The 15547-nt window shown below is 42.0% G+C and overlaps 1 long non-coding RNA gene and 1 pseudogene across 1 annotated transcript; one reads left to right on the forward strand and one right to left on the reverse strand.

Annotated features, from left to right (window-relative positions):
- Window positions 1-7760: 7760 nt before the first annotated feature.
- Window positions 7761-9254, reverse strand: LOC105377005 (uncharacterized). Its single transcript, XR_001740552.2, has 3 exons — window positions 9119-9254; window positions 8882-8986; window positions 7761-7870 (listed from the first exon to the last, which is right to left on the reverse strand). It is a non-coding gene; the product is annotated as an uncharacterized LOC105377005 (long non-coding RNA).
- RNU1-96P (RNA, U1 small nuclear 96, pseudogene) lies at window positions 9111-9272 on the forward strand (annotated as a pseudogene).

A 15547-nucleotide genomic window follows, 5' to 3' on the forward strand; every position in this document is an offset into this window, starting at 1 on the left:
GGGTCAGGGAAAGAGGCTCAAACATAGAAACTGCTAGGTGAGACCTAATGTACAAAAAGGAATAAAACTAGAGAAAGTGTGCAGATAGAGGAAACAGCACTCGAAGAACCAGGGGTAGAAGAGAATGGGACATTCCAGGAACTAAAACAAACTGGCTAAAGTGGAAGGTGGGGACTTTCTCCATTATGTTAATGAGTTCCAACATTTTTTGCATTTTTTGAGGGCAGTGAGAGCCATTTGGAGGGATTTAAGGCAAAGTGACTTGATCAGTCTTGTGTTTATGTAAGATCACTCAAACTGCAATGGAGAGAATAAAAGTCCCAAAGGGCAGAATGAGAAAGTTTGGTAGGAAGACCCATCAAGGGCAAAGAAGAGGAAGCAGAGATTGGTTTGGGGATGTATGGGAGGCACTAGATAACTAGAGGGGCTTACACTGGGGTAAGAAAGACCCAGGATACTAAAGATTAAGCCATGAAGAATTCATTTCAATATCAACTGCTGGTAGGCTGGGTGCAGTGGCTCACAACTGTAATCCTAGCACTTTGGGAGGCCGAGGTGGGTGGATTGCTTGAGGTCAGGAGTTAGAGACCAACCTGCCAACAAGGCAGGAGAATTCCTTGAACCCTGGGAGGTGGAGGTTGCGGTGAGCTGAGATTGCACCACTGCACTCCATCCTGGGCGATAGAGTGAGACCCTGTCTCAAATAAATAAATAAATAAAATGAACTGCTGGAGGGGGACAAAATATATCAAACAAAACAGGCTGAAGCCTGCATTGTGTGTTTTACTTTGCGGGGGAGGACTAGGCTACATTAGCAGCAGGCTGTCACCACGCATGTACTGTTCTGGAACTGTTACACAGCACTGAGGCTTAATAGTTGTTCTGGAGCCCATGACCAGCACTCAGTTCCACACCCTTTCTTACAAAAGAACTTACTCTGCAAAGCAAGTATAATAACCCTGAGGGCGGGCATAGTGGTACATACCTGTAATCCTAGCACTTTGGGAGGCTGACGCGGGTGGATCACCTGAGGTCAGGTGTTCAAAACCAGCCTGGCCAACATGGTGAAACCCCCTCTCTCTGAAAATACAAAAATTTAGCCAGGCGTGGTGGTGGGTCCCTGTAATCCCAGCACTTGGGAGTTTGAGGCAGGAGAATCGCTTGAACTCAGGAGGCGGGAGTTGCAGTGAGCCGAGATGGTGCCACCGCACTCCAGCCTGGGCGACAGAGCAAGACTCCATCTCAAAAATAAAATAAAATAAAATAACCCAGAGGAAATGTTAACTGAGCAATTCTGTGGAGAGACCAGAGTTAAAATACAAAGACACATGTTTCATCCTCTTTAAAAAGTGCAGGATAGGCCAGGCGCAGTGGCTAACACCTATAATCCCAACACTTTGGGAGGCCAAGGAGGGTGGATCACCTGAGGTCATAAGTTTGAGACCAGCCTGACCAATAAGGTGAAACCTGTCTCTACTACAAATACAAAAATTAGCCAGGCACAGTGGCGTGTGCCTGTAGTCCCAGCTACTCGGGAGGCTGAGACAGGAGAATTGCTTGAACCCGGGAGGCAGAGGTTGCAGTGAGCCAAGATCATGCCACTGCACTCCAGCCTGGGCAACAGAGCAAGACTCTGCCTCAAAAAAATAAAAATAAAATAAAAAAAGTGCAGGATATGTTCCTATGTTTAATCTTTAGGCTTAGTGCACAGAGAATAGCACCAAGAGGGTAAATGTTGGAGAGACAGTATTCTAACATATCCAATTTGCCCTATAATTTGTTGAGCACATGAAGTATCTACCGTGTTTTGAGAACTTCCTAACTAGTTTTCCTGGTGCAATAAGAGTGATTGATAGTTTCAAAATTAATTTTGCAATCTTGAATCTTCAGGTGTTTTCTGAACAGTGTGGCCAAAGCTACAGGGGACAAAAGAGATGATCAGAGGACCAGCAGTCTTGGCCTCTGGGAGATTGCTGGACATGCAGAATCACGGGCCTTTGTATACACTTAGGAAGCACTGCTCTGAAGATCTGCTTCCTGATCTTAAGTAAATTATCATTTGAGTTGGAAAAACCATAGGGAACTACTGAAGGTAGAATTTAAAAAACTTCTATATAATGTATTATGAAATATAAGGGCTAGAAGGGTTAATGAGAGAGGGGCTATTAGCAGCATTAATGTTCTCACGTGATATTAGAACACTAATTCTACTTTGGGTTGTTACAATTAATTGCTTTCGTGCCTTCTGAATTCAAAATTAATACACTCCATAAAGTTTAGGAGCATGGACTACACATTTCTGTATTCCTCTCAACAGTCTGTACATAGTATATGAAGTACATAAAGATCTGTTAAATAAATTTGATAATATGATCCTGGCTGGTTGGTTGGGATTTTACAGATTAAATTTTTAGGGGGATTTTCTTAGTAAAAACATAAGAGAATGTTTAGGGTCATGGCATTTCTTGCTCTAGTCTTTATTTCATTTTGGGGGAGACACAGAATTGTTCTTCAGTCAGCTCTGTGTCAGAGGAGAGAGTAAAGCTGTTCCTTCATCATGCAATAGTAATCTGAGTCAAGGATATGAAACAAGCCCTTCAGGAAGTGAGCCAATTAAATGTTATTCTTCAGATATGAAGTTAATAAACAAAATATAGCTAAAGCATCAAAACTTTGGAGAATCTTATATTCCCTAAGTGGTAGAAATAAATTGATGTCCCATGATAAAAATAAACGAGATCCATGGGAAATTTTTCTTGTTCTTCCCCATCATGTTGTCTCATCTCTCACACATTATGCACAATGATATGAGAAAATCAGCAGAAGAACTTTTCTCCTTTCTTTCCTCTTTTGTTAGATGGTAAATACCAGCTGGAGCTTTGTGAGCAGTGAGTAATCCACCTGGCACAGAACCAAGGTAACTGCTACCTGAAAACGTTCCACTCTGTTGTTATCCTTCTGTTCAGGAATCATATAGTCCAAATGAATGAATGGAAGAAACCACCTCTGTGGGCTTTCATACATAGGACTTTTCCAGGAGCATTGAGTGCCTGGTTAAGCTGCTGTCAGCTTTCAGTTTTGCCCTTGTACCTAGTCCACACTGAAATGCTTAATCTCAGAATGGTTTCCTCTTGTTTCTCAGCACCCATCTGGGCACCCTCTCCTGGCCACAACTTGGTTTGTTCTCAGGGGATGGAAACTGACTATATCATAACAAGTAAAATATATTTAGGACTGCCAGTGTAGCAGAGGCCACAGTGACAGGTCCTTGCTCATATCCCTCAGGTCTTCTCTGCAAGCTTCCAGCTGTCAGTACGTGCCTCTCTGCCCTCAGGCCATTTCCCCAAGCCCAAGGAGCCTGCTCTACCTGTGCACAAAACAGGCCTGAAGTTTAGAATTACTATGCCCAGGAGGAGCCATTACCAATGACCAATAAGTGCTGGTGATTGATACCCCAGCTTCCTAGTCCTTGAGCCAAGGTAATTCTAAAGTGTGTGTTTTATTTCACGGTGGGGCTAAGCTTCTAACGTACTTTTGAGTGGCTGCATTTTCTATCCCTGTGTCGTACACCTGCCATACCAGTGTTTCCTGCAACTTTCAAATAAACCACTAGTCCTCGAATCTTTGTCTCAGGGTCAGCTTCTGGCGGAACTCAAAGTGTGATGGTCAGTAGGCAAACAAAATATTCTCATAATGGATTCCAAAGCCAGATATACATAGATTTTGAATTTCCCAGGAGACAATTAAAAGTCAGCAATTCATAGATAAGCCAAGACTCAAAGTTGCTAAATCTAAATTCCTTTACTCACAGCATCAATATTCATCATACTGCCTCTTCATGCTCTGAGAGTGTTCTTCTGACTCAATGACCTCTGCTGGTAAATCGCTTAACAGAATGCATTTCCAATCATTTTAATGTGCTTTGAAGGTTACAGCCCAAGCCGCCAAACATGATTCACAGGTGTTTTCTATAACTCTAATTCTGATGTACCAAGTGACCTTGGCCATTACAATGCCTGTTTTCAACTAGAATGCACTGTGTTGTGAAATGATTGTTTATGACAAATAATTTTATACTTTAGTGTTATTTAATTATTTTTCAATTTCTTCTATATTTTCCCTTTTCCTCAAATACTGATTTATGCTTTTTTTCTCTTTCCTTTTTACTCGAATTTCTCCCTATTTCTATCCTGCTATTATTCTTTTTGTAACAAAATAATACAGTCCATCTAATATGCATACAGTGTATGTTATGTCCCTACCAGATCCCTTTCGGATCAAGGAACTCACCCCTCCAGCTGCTGGATATTGCCTGCTGATGGCTCACAACTCAGTTTCTCTCAAAGAATTGCCCTGGGCTGAAAGAAGTTATCTAGCCCAAAGTTATACTTCTCGGCCGGGCACAATGGCTCATGCCTGTAATCGCAGCACTTTGGGAGGCCGAGGCGGGTGGATCAACCGAGATCAGGAGTTCGAGACCAGCCTGGACAACATGGTGAAACCTCGTCTCTACTAAAAATACAAAAATTAGCTGGGTGTGGTGGCATACGCCTGTAATCCCAGCTACTCGGGAGGCTGAGGCAGGAGAATCACTTGAACCCAGGAGGTGGAGGTTGCAGTGAGCCAAAATTGTGCCTTTGCAATCCAGCCTGGCGACAAAAGCAAGACTCCATCTTAAAAAAAAAGTTACACTCCTCCCTGGGGACAGCCAGCATCCAAAATGGCCCAGACACTTTGCCTCCATTTGGAACAACTTTGAAGGGCTACCACAGCTTCAAAGCTCTCTGTAGGATCAGCAGAGGCCTCTTTTGCAATTGCATAGGAGTTCAACTTCTGCTTTTGCCTAGTTCTGTTTTTTTTACTCTTCACAAGTGCTGATCCTGAAAGTGCACCGCAGTTAACCTTCTGCACAAAAATCTCAGACTCTCAGACTCTGTTTCCCAGGAAGGTCCCAGAAACTTCCAGATAAAATTAGAAAATTATGAGGGGATCAGGTGCAGTGGCTTACACCTGTAATCCCAGCACTCTGAGAGACCGAGGCAGGAGAATCACTTGAGCCCAGGAGTTCAAGACCAGCCTGGGCAACATAGTAAGGCCCTGCCTTTATTTATTTATTTATTTATTTATTTATTTTTTCTTTCGAGACAGAGTCTCACTCTGTCACCCAGGCTGGAGTGCAATGGTGCAATCTCGGCCCACTGCAAGCTCCGCCTCCTGGATTCAAGTGATTCTCCTGCCTCAGCCTACTGAGTAGCTGGGATTACAGGTGCCCACCACCACACCTGGCTAATTTTTGTATTTTTAGTAGAGACAGAGTTTCACCATGTTGGCCAGGCTGGTCTCGAACTCCTGACCTCAGGCGATCTGCCAGCCTTGGCCTCCCAAAGTTCTGGGTTTATAGGCATGAACCACCATGCCTAGCCTGTGGCCCTGTCTTTAATAAAACAACTTGGTGGACTGTCCTGGAGTAAAAAAATAAATACAACAACAACAACAACAACAACTAAAGGAAATCAAGAGGGATAAAAATGTCCTCATTTTAATCTATTATTTTTTGTGCACTCTGCCTAGTATATATAAGTTGGTATCGCAAAAACTTAGAAAGTACAAATACAGGCCGAGCACGGTGGCTGACACCTGTAATCCCAGCACCTTGGGAGACTGAGGCAGGCAGATCACCTGAGGTCCGGAGTTTGAGACCAGCCTGACCAATATAGTGAAACCCCATCTCTACTAAAAATACAAAAATTAGCCAGGCATGGTGGCAGGCGCCTGTAATCCCAGCTTCTTGGGAGGCTGAGGCAGGAGAATCACTTGAACCTAGGAGGTGGAGGTTGCAGTGAGCTGAGATTGTACCATTGCACTCCAGCCTGGCCAAAAAGAGTGAAACTCTGTCTCAGAAAAGAAAGAAAGAAAGAAAGAAACAGAAGAAGGTAAAAGAGTTATATTTCTAAGGCGTATTTGCCATGCCTTCTGTGAAGGCACATCTGTTGGTACTGCTTCCTTTAATTGCAATACTTCAATTACTAGCCATTACAATCAGTTAGTAGTTAGGGTGCTATGGCCTGAATGTTTATGCACTCCTCTCCCAATTTTTTTTTTTTTATTGAGATGCAGTCTTACACTGTCACCCACGTTGGAGTGCAGTGGTGTGATCTTAGCTCACTGCAACCTTCACCTCCCAGGTTCAAGCCATTCTTCTGCCTCAGCCTCCCTAGTAGCTGGAGTTATAGGCGGCTGCCACCACGCCCAGCTAATTTTTGTATTTTTAGTAGAGATAGGGTTTTACCATGTTGCCCAGGCTGGTCTCAAACTCTTGACCTCAGGTGATCCACCCACCTCAGCCTCCCAAAGTGCTGGGATTACAGGTGTGAGCGACCGCGCCCAGCTCCTCTCCCAATTAATATGTTGAAACCCTGACCCCCAAGATGATGATATTAGGATATGAGGACTTTGAGAGGTGATTAGGTCATGAAGCGCCCTCATGGATGGGATCCTTATAAAAGAGGCTGGAGAAAGCTCCCTTGCCCCTTGCACCATGTGAACTTATAGTGAAATTACCAAATTCTATGAGCCAGAAAGCAGGCTGTCACCGGACACTGAATTTGCCAGCATCTTGATCTGGGACTCCCAACCTCCAGAAATATGAAAAATAAATTTTTGTTGTTTATAAACCACCCAGTCTATGGTAATTTGTTATAGCAATCCTAATGCACTGTGACATAGGCTCATACTAACAGCTGTAATAAATAGACCTCAAAATATATAGTACTAAAACATAGTAACCGTTCATTTCTTGCTCACCTAAGAGGTTGTTGTTGCTGAGGGGTGGTGGACCCTCTCTTTATCAGGGCCCCTTATGTTAAGTTTATTATGTAGCTCTCCTTTCCTCAAATCCTCACTGTCATCAGCATCTAGCCAGTAAAGGGGGAAGTAGAGCAGAGAAGAGACTTACGTATTTCTTAAAATAATGTCATAGATCATTATTTTGTTCCATAGATCAGAATTTGTTCCATAGATCAGAATTCAGTTGTGTGGCCACAACTAACTACAAGGCAAGTTTAGAAAAATAGTCTAGTTGTGTGCTCAGCAAAAAGTGGAAACTCATTTTTGCTGCACAGTTGACAGACCCAGACACAGAGTCTTTGTGTAGCACAAGAAAGACAAACAAATACCAAGCTCTTCAAACCATACTAGATGGATCTTAAAGGTGCCAGTCGGCTGACTGCTAGAGTCAGTCAGTAGCAGAAACGCTTCAGATGAGAATCCACCTTCTTTAGCTGTCCTGAGAGTGCTTAAAACTTAGTATCTAAAAATAATTCTAACATTCAATAATAGTTGTACCAATATACCAAAGTAGGCCCCATAGTAAAGCACTCTGTCTGCTTCAAGACAGGATAGATGGCCTCTTAGGAACGGACTGAGTCGGCCTTTTCTGCCCCTTCCCCCTTCTAATGAATCAGCCACATTGTTTGGGAAGGCTTCTGAGACCATTATCTGGTGTCTCATTGCTCTGACACTACCACTTTGGGTGCTAGAATTTCAATCATGAAGACCAATGAGACTTAACCAGTTCATTTTCTTAACGTTTTGTCAACAAATGAAATATGCTTTTCTTATAAAATGACTGTTAAGAAAAAAGTTATTTCTCTTGACCTATTCACACAAGTAAACAGTAAATCTTTCAGCATTCAAGCCAGAGATCAGAATTTTATTTGAAGAAGATGACAACTTTGTGGCTTTGTACTTACTCGCTCTTCCAGATCAACGACAGAGAATAATTGGCCATTCTGTAGATGGCTTCACGAGAGAAGAACTTACAACCCATGTTGGGTTTTTTCTTTTTTTTTTTAGTTCGAAAAGGATGTTCCTGGGGGAAAATATAATCACATTTATATTTCAGATGAAACTGTCTGTGTTGGAGGTTTTCAATTTGTAGCCTAAATGGTTGACTCAGACATGTCTACACATAGAACAGCCAAATAATAATTAAGAGCTATCAGTGAACACCACCACACTAGATATTATCAGTGTTTACCCGTAGTGTCTGCTCATATTTACAAATCACTTTATAATGTTCATGAAAGTATTTTCCCTCAATTATTTATTTCTAACTAGTCATGTAGCATGAGTGGATAATCTTTCTTTTTTAAAAATTGCTGATTACATTCCCTAAAGCAAAACCAACTATGTAATTAATTTAGAGTTGTTTTTCCTTAAAGAAACATTAAACATCAAAATCATGTCCTTTTCCACCTAAGCAAACAAAAAAGTACATAATTCTTACAAAAAATGCTTTAAAATACCATTTATTTCCATTTTGTGGTGAGTTAGGAGAGAGGGGAGGAAATAGGAAGGGAGAAGGAAGAAGCAGGAGGCAGGGGTGGAAAGTAGAGACCTGGATAAAGGGATGAGAAGACATAAAAAGGAAAAGGAAAACATAAATGATCAAGGAATGAGTTGAGAGGGGAAACAAAGCCGGGGAGAGAATGAGAAAGAAAATGGAGGAAGAAGCTGGGCGCAGTGGCTCACACCTGTAAATCCCAGCACTTTGGGAGGCTGAGGTGGGCGGATCATCTGAGGTCAGGAGTTTGAGACCAGCCTGGCAAACATGATGAAACCCTGTTTCTACTAAAAATACAAAAATTAGCCAGGCATGGTGGTGCACACCTATAATCCCAGCTACTCAGGAGGCTGAGGCAGGAGAATCGCTTGAACCTGGGAGGTGGAGGTTGCAGTGAGCCGAGATCGCGCCACTGCTCTCCAGCCTGGGCAACAAGGGTGAAACTCCACCTCAAAAAAAAAAAAAAAGAGGGACATTTGGATAAAGTGAAGAGCAGAACCTACCTATTAGGGAAGGGAAGTGGATTGGGTTTCCTACCCTGTCTGTAGACTCCATGAAGAACCATGTCTCTCCAGCCAGAAAGATATTCTTGCTTAAGTAGCTCCTTACAACCTACTTCTTCATAAATTTTGTAGATTCTTTCTTAAAAATTGAAATATAATTTACACACCATAGAATTCATCCTTTTAAAATATATAGCTCAGGATTTGTGGTAAGTTCACAAGGTTATGCAATCTCCACCACTAATTAATTCAAGAATATTTTCATACTTACCTAGGAGGTGAAATACCATCATCACAAAGGTGATTTTCCCAGGGTGAGGCTTATTCATTGCACTCTGGATGTGCTGATCCCTGCAATTTCCCCAAATGTGGAGAACTCAACTGCATAATCTTTGGCAGTGGGAAACTGTGTTCACACTCTCTTCTGTAACAACAACAACGAAAAAAATATATATATATATTTATCAGCCCTAGGAAATCATGTGTTTTACTACATTAGCAGTAACTCTCCATCTTTTCCTCCCTCTAGCTCCTGGAAACCAATAATCTCTTTTCTGTCTCTATAGATTTGCATATTCTGGAAATTTCTTTTCTTTTCTTTTCTTTTTTTTTGAAACGAGGTTTTGCTCTTGTTGCCCAGGCTGAAGTGCAATCGCGCGATCTCGGCTCACTGCAACCTCCGCTTCCCAGGTTCAAGCGATTCTCCTGCCTAAGCCTCCTGAGTAGCTGGGATTATAGGTGCCTGCCACCACATCCGGTTAATTTTTATATTTTCAGTAGGGACGGGGTTTCACCGTATTGTCCAGGCAGGTCTCGAACTCCTGACCTCAGGTGATCCACCAGCCTTGGCCTCCCAAAGTGCTGGGATTGCAGGCGTGAGCCACCGTGCCCGGCCTGGAAATTTCATATAAACAAAATCATCAAGTATGTGGCATTTGGTGCATGCCTTCTTTCACTTACCATAATGTTTTTAATATTTATCCATGTTAAAGCATGTATTACTATTTCATCCTTCTTTATTTTTTTTTTTTTTGAGACGGAGTCTCGCTCTGTCACCCAGGCTGGAGTGCAGTGGTGTGATCTTGGCTCACTGCAACTTCTGCCTACAATTGCCAGATTGTAAAGGAAGGGCTAAAACTATCCCTTTTTACATACATACGTACATGAAATATAGAGAATTCTAGAGAATCTGCGAAAAATTTTTAGGGCTAATAAATGAGTTCAGCAAGTTTGTAGGATACAACATCAATATATAAAAATCAATTGTTTTTCTATACACTAGCAATCTGAAAATGAAACTTAGAAAATAATTTCATTCAGCATAAAAAGAATAAAATGTTTAGGAATAAACTAAAAAAAGAAGTGCAAAACATATACTCTTACCAGGTACAGTGGCTCACACCTGTAATCCCAGTACTTTGGGAGGCCATGGTAGGAGAATCATTTGAGGCCAGGAGTTTAAGACCAGCCTGGGCAACACAGTGAGAACCTCATCACTACAAAAAATTAAAAATTTAGCTGGGCATGATGGCACACTCCTCTTTGGGAGGCTGAAGCAGGAGGATTGCTTGAGCCCAGGAGTTCAAAGCTGCAGTGAGCTATGATTGTGCCACTACACTCTAGCCTGGGTGACAAAGTGAGACTCTGTTGCTAAAAAAATTACAAAACATGTTGAAATAGTACTAGTACTTTGAAAGGCCAAGGCAGGAGGATCACTTGAGTTCAGGAGTTTGAGACCAGCCTGAGAAACATAGTGAGACTTCATCTCTACAAAAAGTGAAAAATTTGGCTGGGTGAGGTGGCTCATGCCTATAATCCCAGCACTTTGGTAGGCCAAGGTGGGCAGATCACCTGAGGTCAGGAGTTCGAGACCAGCCTGGCCAACATGGTGAAACTCCGTCTCTACTAAAAATGTAAAAATTATCTGGGTGTAGTGGTGGGAGCCTGTAGTCTCAGCTACCTGGGAGGCTGAGGCAGGAGAATTGCTTTAACCTGGGAGGCAGAGGTTGCAGCGAGCTGAGTTCATGCCATTGCACTCCAGCCTGGGCAACAAGAGTGAAACTCCGTCTCTAAACAAAAAAAAAAAAAAAAAAAAAAAAAGAAAGAAAGAAAGAAATGGCAGGAATGGACATCCTTTTCTTGTTCCTGATCTTCGCGGGAAAGCATTTTGTCCTCCACCATTAGGTATGGTGGTAGCCGTGTGATTTTTGTTGATGAACTTTATCAGATTGAGGAAGTTATTTTTCTTTTCTTTTCTTTTCTTTTTATTATACTTTAAGTTTTAGGGTACATGTGCACAACGTGCAGGTTAGTTACATACATATACACGTGCCATGTTGGTGTGCTGAACCCAGTAACTCGTCATTTAACATTAGGTATATCTCCAAATGCTATCCCTCCCCCCTCCCCCCACCCCACAACAGGCCCCGGTGTGTGATGTTCCCCGAGGAAGTTATTTTTCTATTTGTGTTGAGTGTTTTTATTCAGAAAGAGTGTTGGATTTTGTCAGATGCTTTTCTGCATCTACTGAGACGATCATATGATTTTGGTTTTTATTCTATTAATATGGTACATTATATTCATTTATTTTGTACATCAAACCAATCTTACATTCCTGGGATAAACTTTTTTTTTTCTTTTTTGAGATGGAGTCTCACTTTGTTGCCCAGGCTGGAGTGCAGTGGCGTGGCCTCGGCTCACTGCAAGCTGCACCTCCCAGGTTCACGCCATTCTCCTGCATCTGCCTCCCGAGTAGCTGGGACTGCAGGCGCCCGCCACCACGCCCGGCTAATTTTTTTGTATTTTTAGTAGAGACTGGGTTTCACTGTGTTAGCCAGGATGGTCTCGATCTCCTGACCTTGTGATCTGCCTGCCTCGGACTCCCAAAGTGCTGGGATTACAGGCATGAGCCACCACTCCTGGCCAGCATAATCCTTTTTATATGCAGTTTGCTAGTATGCTAGTATTTGGTATCAGGCCAATATTGGTCTCACAAATTAGTAGAAAAGTGTTCCCTTCTCATATTTTCAGAAGGTTTCGTGAAGGATTGGTGTTCATTCCTCTTTAATACTTGGTAGAATTCTCTAGTGACGTCATCTGGTTCTGGGCTTTTATTTATAGAAAAGTTTTGGCTGGGTGCGGTGGCTCACGCCTGGAATCCCAGCACTTTGGGAGGCCAAGGCGGGTGGATCACCTGAGGTCAGGAGTTGGAGACCACCCTGGCCAACATGGCAAAACCTCGTCTCTACTAAAAATACAAAAATTAGCCGGGCGTGGTGGTGGGTGCCTGTAGTCCCAGCTACTCAGGAGGCTGAGACAGGAGAATAGCTTGAATGCGGGAGGCGGAGGTTGCAGTGAGCCGAGATTGCACCACTGCACTCCAGCCTGGGCAACAGAGCGAGATTCCATCTCAAAAATAAAAAAAAAAAGAAAGGTTTTTTAATGATTCATCAACCTTTCTACTTGCTATAGTTCTATTCAGGTTGTCTATTTTTTAAGCAGTTTGATAGTTTGGATCTTTTTAGGAATGTGCCCCTTTCATGTAGGTTATCTTATTTGTCGGCATATAATTGTTCATCGTATTCTGTCATCTCTTCCATTCCTGGTTTTAGTATTTTGAGTCTTCTTTCTTTTATTTCTTTTTTTTGTCAGTCTAGCTAACTGTTGTCAATTTTGATTATCTTTTCAAACAACCAACTTTTAGTTTTGCTGATTTTCTTCATTTTTATTCTATTTCCTATTTTGTTTCTACGGCCATACCACCCTGAATGCACTTGATCTTGTCTATTTTCTATTTTGTTTATTTCTGCTATAATAGTTATCATTTTCTTCCTTGTGTTTGCTTGATTTGGGTTTAGTTTGCTCTTCTTTTTCTATTTCCTTAGGGAGAAAAGTTAGGTTATTGATTTTTGGCCTTTACTCTTTTTAACATACAGGCATTTAGAGCAGTAAATTTCCCTGTAAGCACCAATTTAACTTCATTGAATTTAAGGTAGGTTGTGGTTTTTTTATTTTCATTCATCTCAAAGTATTTCTAATTTTCTATGTGATTTCTTCTTTGACCCGTTAGTTATTTAGAAATGTGTTGTTCAGGCCAAACACAGCGGCTCACGCCTGTAATCCCAGCACTTTGGGAGGCCAAGGTGGGTGAATCACCTGAGGTCAGGAGTTCACGACCAGCCTGGCCAACATGGTGAAACCCTGTCTCTACTAAAAATACAAAAATTAGCCAGGCATTGTGGCTTGCACACTGTAGTCCCAGCTACTTGGTAGGCTGAGGCAGGAGAATCGCTTGAACTTGGGAGGTGAAGGTTGCAGTGAGCTGAGATCACGCCATTGCACTCGGCTGGGCAACAAGAGAAAACTGTCTCAACACCAAAAAAAAAAAAAAGAATTGTGTTGTTCAATTTCCAATATGTGTGAATTTCCTGAAATTTCTTTTACTATTATTTCTAATTTTATTTCACTGTGGTCAGAGAACATACTTTGTATTATTACAGTCTTTTAAAGTTTTCTGAGCTTTTTTAATGGCCTAACATATGGATTGTCCTGGAAAATATTCCATGTTCACTTGAGAAGAATGTGTATTTTTTAAAATTTATTTTAATTTTATTTTATTACTTTTTTTTTTTAAACAGGGCCTCACTCTGTCACCCAGGCTGGAGTGCAGTGACACAATCTTGGTTCACTGCAACCTCTGCCTCCCAGGCTCAAACAATCTTCCCACCTTAGCCTCCCAAGTAGCTGGGACTGCAGGCACTCACCGCCACGCCTGGCTAATTATTGTATTTATAATTGTCCAGGCTAATCTCAAACTTCTGGACTCAAGCGATCTGTCTGCCTTGGCCTCCCAAAGTGCTGGGATTACAAGCATGAGCTACCACGCCTGGCCGAACATGTATTTTATAGACACCTTTGAATATCTTAGAATGTTGGGTGTTATTATTACTACTATTATTTTTGTAGAGATAGGTTCTTACTATGTTGCCCAGGCTGTCTCAAACTCCTGGCTTCAGGCAATTGTCCAACATTGGCCTCCCAAAGTGTTGGTACTATAGGTATGAACCCCCATGCCTGGCTGAATGAATGTTGGATATTCTATAGATGTCTTTCATGTCAAGTTGATTTATAGTGTTGTTAATATCTTCTATTTCCTTGGCCATCTTTTATCCAGTTGTTCTACCCATTATGGAAAGTGGCAGCTAGGCACAGTGGCTCACAACTGTGATCCTAGCACTTGGAGGCCAAGGCTGGAGAATTGCTTGAGGCTAGGAGTTTGAGACCAGCCTGGGCAATATAGCAAGACTCCATCTTAAAAAAAAAAATAGAGGCCGGCATCGTGGCTCACGCCTGTAATCTCTGCACTTTGGGAGGCTGAGGTGGGTGGATCACCTGAGGTCAGGAGTTCAAGACCAGCCTGGCCAACATGATAAAACCCCATCACTACTAAAAATACAAAAAATTAGCTGGGCATGACGGTGTGCACCTGTAATCCCAGCTACTCAGGAGGCTGAGGCAGGAGAATCACTTGAACCTGGGAGGCAGAGGTTGAAGTGAGCTGAGATTGCGCTACTGCACTCTAGCCTAGGCAATGAGCAAAACTCTGTCTCAATAAATAAATAAATAAATAAATAAATAAATAAATAAATATAGGGGCTAGGCCTGGTGGCTCATGCCTGTAACCTCTGCGCTCTGGGAGGCTGAGGTGGGCGGATCACTTGAGGTCAGGAGTTTGAGACCAGCCTGGCCAACATGGTGAAACCCCATCTCTACTAAAAATACAAAAATTAGCCGGGGCGGTGACAGAGCGAGACTCCGTCTAAAAAATAAATAAATAAATAAAAATCTGTTCCACCAATCTCTACCTATTATGTGAAGTGTTCAGTAATACACATTTAATGTAATTGCTGATAAGGAAGGATTTACAACTGCCATTTTGCTGTTTGTTTTCTGTATGTATTGTGTTTTTTGTTTCTCTTCCTCCATAACTGCCTTCTTTTGTGTTAACGTCAGGCTTTCCCACAATGCTAGTTTTGATTACTTGATGACCAAGAAATATTAACTATTCTGAGATTGTACATATGACTTTAAATCTCATTTGAGATATTGATTGTTCTTCACTGTTCCAAAAAAAAAAAATCATGAGTAAGATTTCAGAAGGATACGGTTTAGGATTTATTCACTGCTTACTTGAAAAATTTGCCAGGTGTGGTGGCTCATGCCTCTAATCCTAGCAGTTTGGGAGTCCAAGGTGGGAGGATCATTTGGGCTTAGGAGTTTGAAACCAGCCTGGGCAACATAGTGAGACTTCATCTCTTAAAGAAAAAAAATAGAAGGCTGGGTGCGGTGGCTCATGCCTGTAATCCCAGCTCTTTGGGAGGCTGAGGCTGGTGGATCACCTGAGGTCAGGAGTTCGAGACCAGCCTGACCAATATGGAGAAACCCCATCTCTACTAAAGGTACAAAATTAGCCAGGCATGGTGGCACATGCCTGTAATCCCAGCTACTTGGGAGGCTGAGGCAGGAGAATCGCTTGAACCTGGGAGACGGAGGTTGTGGTGAGCGGAGATTGCGCCATTGCATTGCGGCCCAGGCAACAAAAGCGAAACTCCGTCTCAAAAAAATAAATAAATAAAATAAAAATTAAAAAAATAGAAAAGAAAAATTGAACATATCATCAGTGACAATAAAATATTTTTAA

Source organism: Homo sapiens, chromosome 3 (genome assembly GCF_000001405.40).
Source record: "Homo sapiens chromosome 3, GRCh38.p14 Primary Assembly".
NCBI lineage: Eukaryota > Metazoa > Chordata > Mammalia > Primates > Hominidae > Homo > Homo sapiens.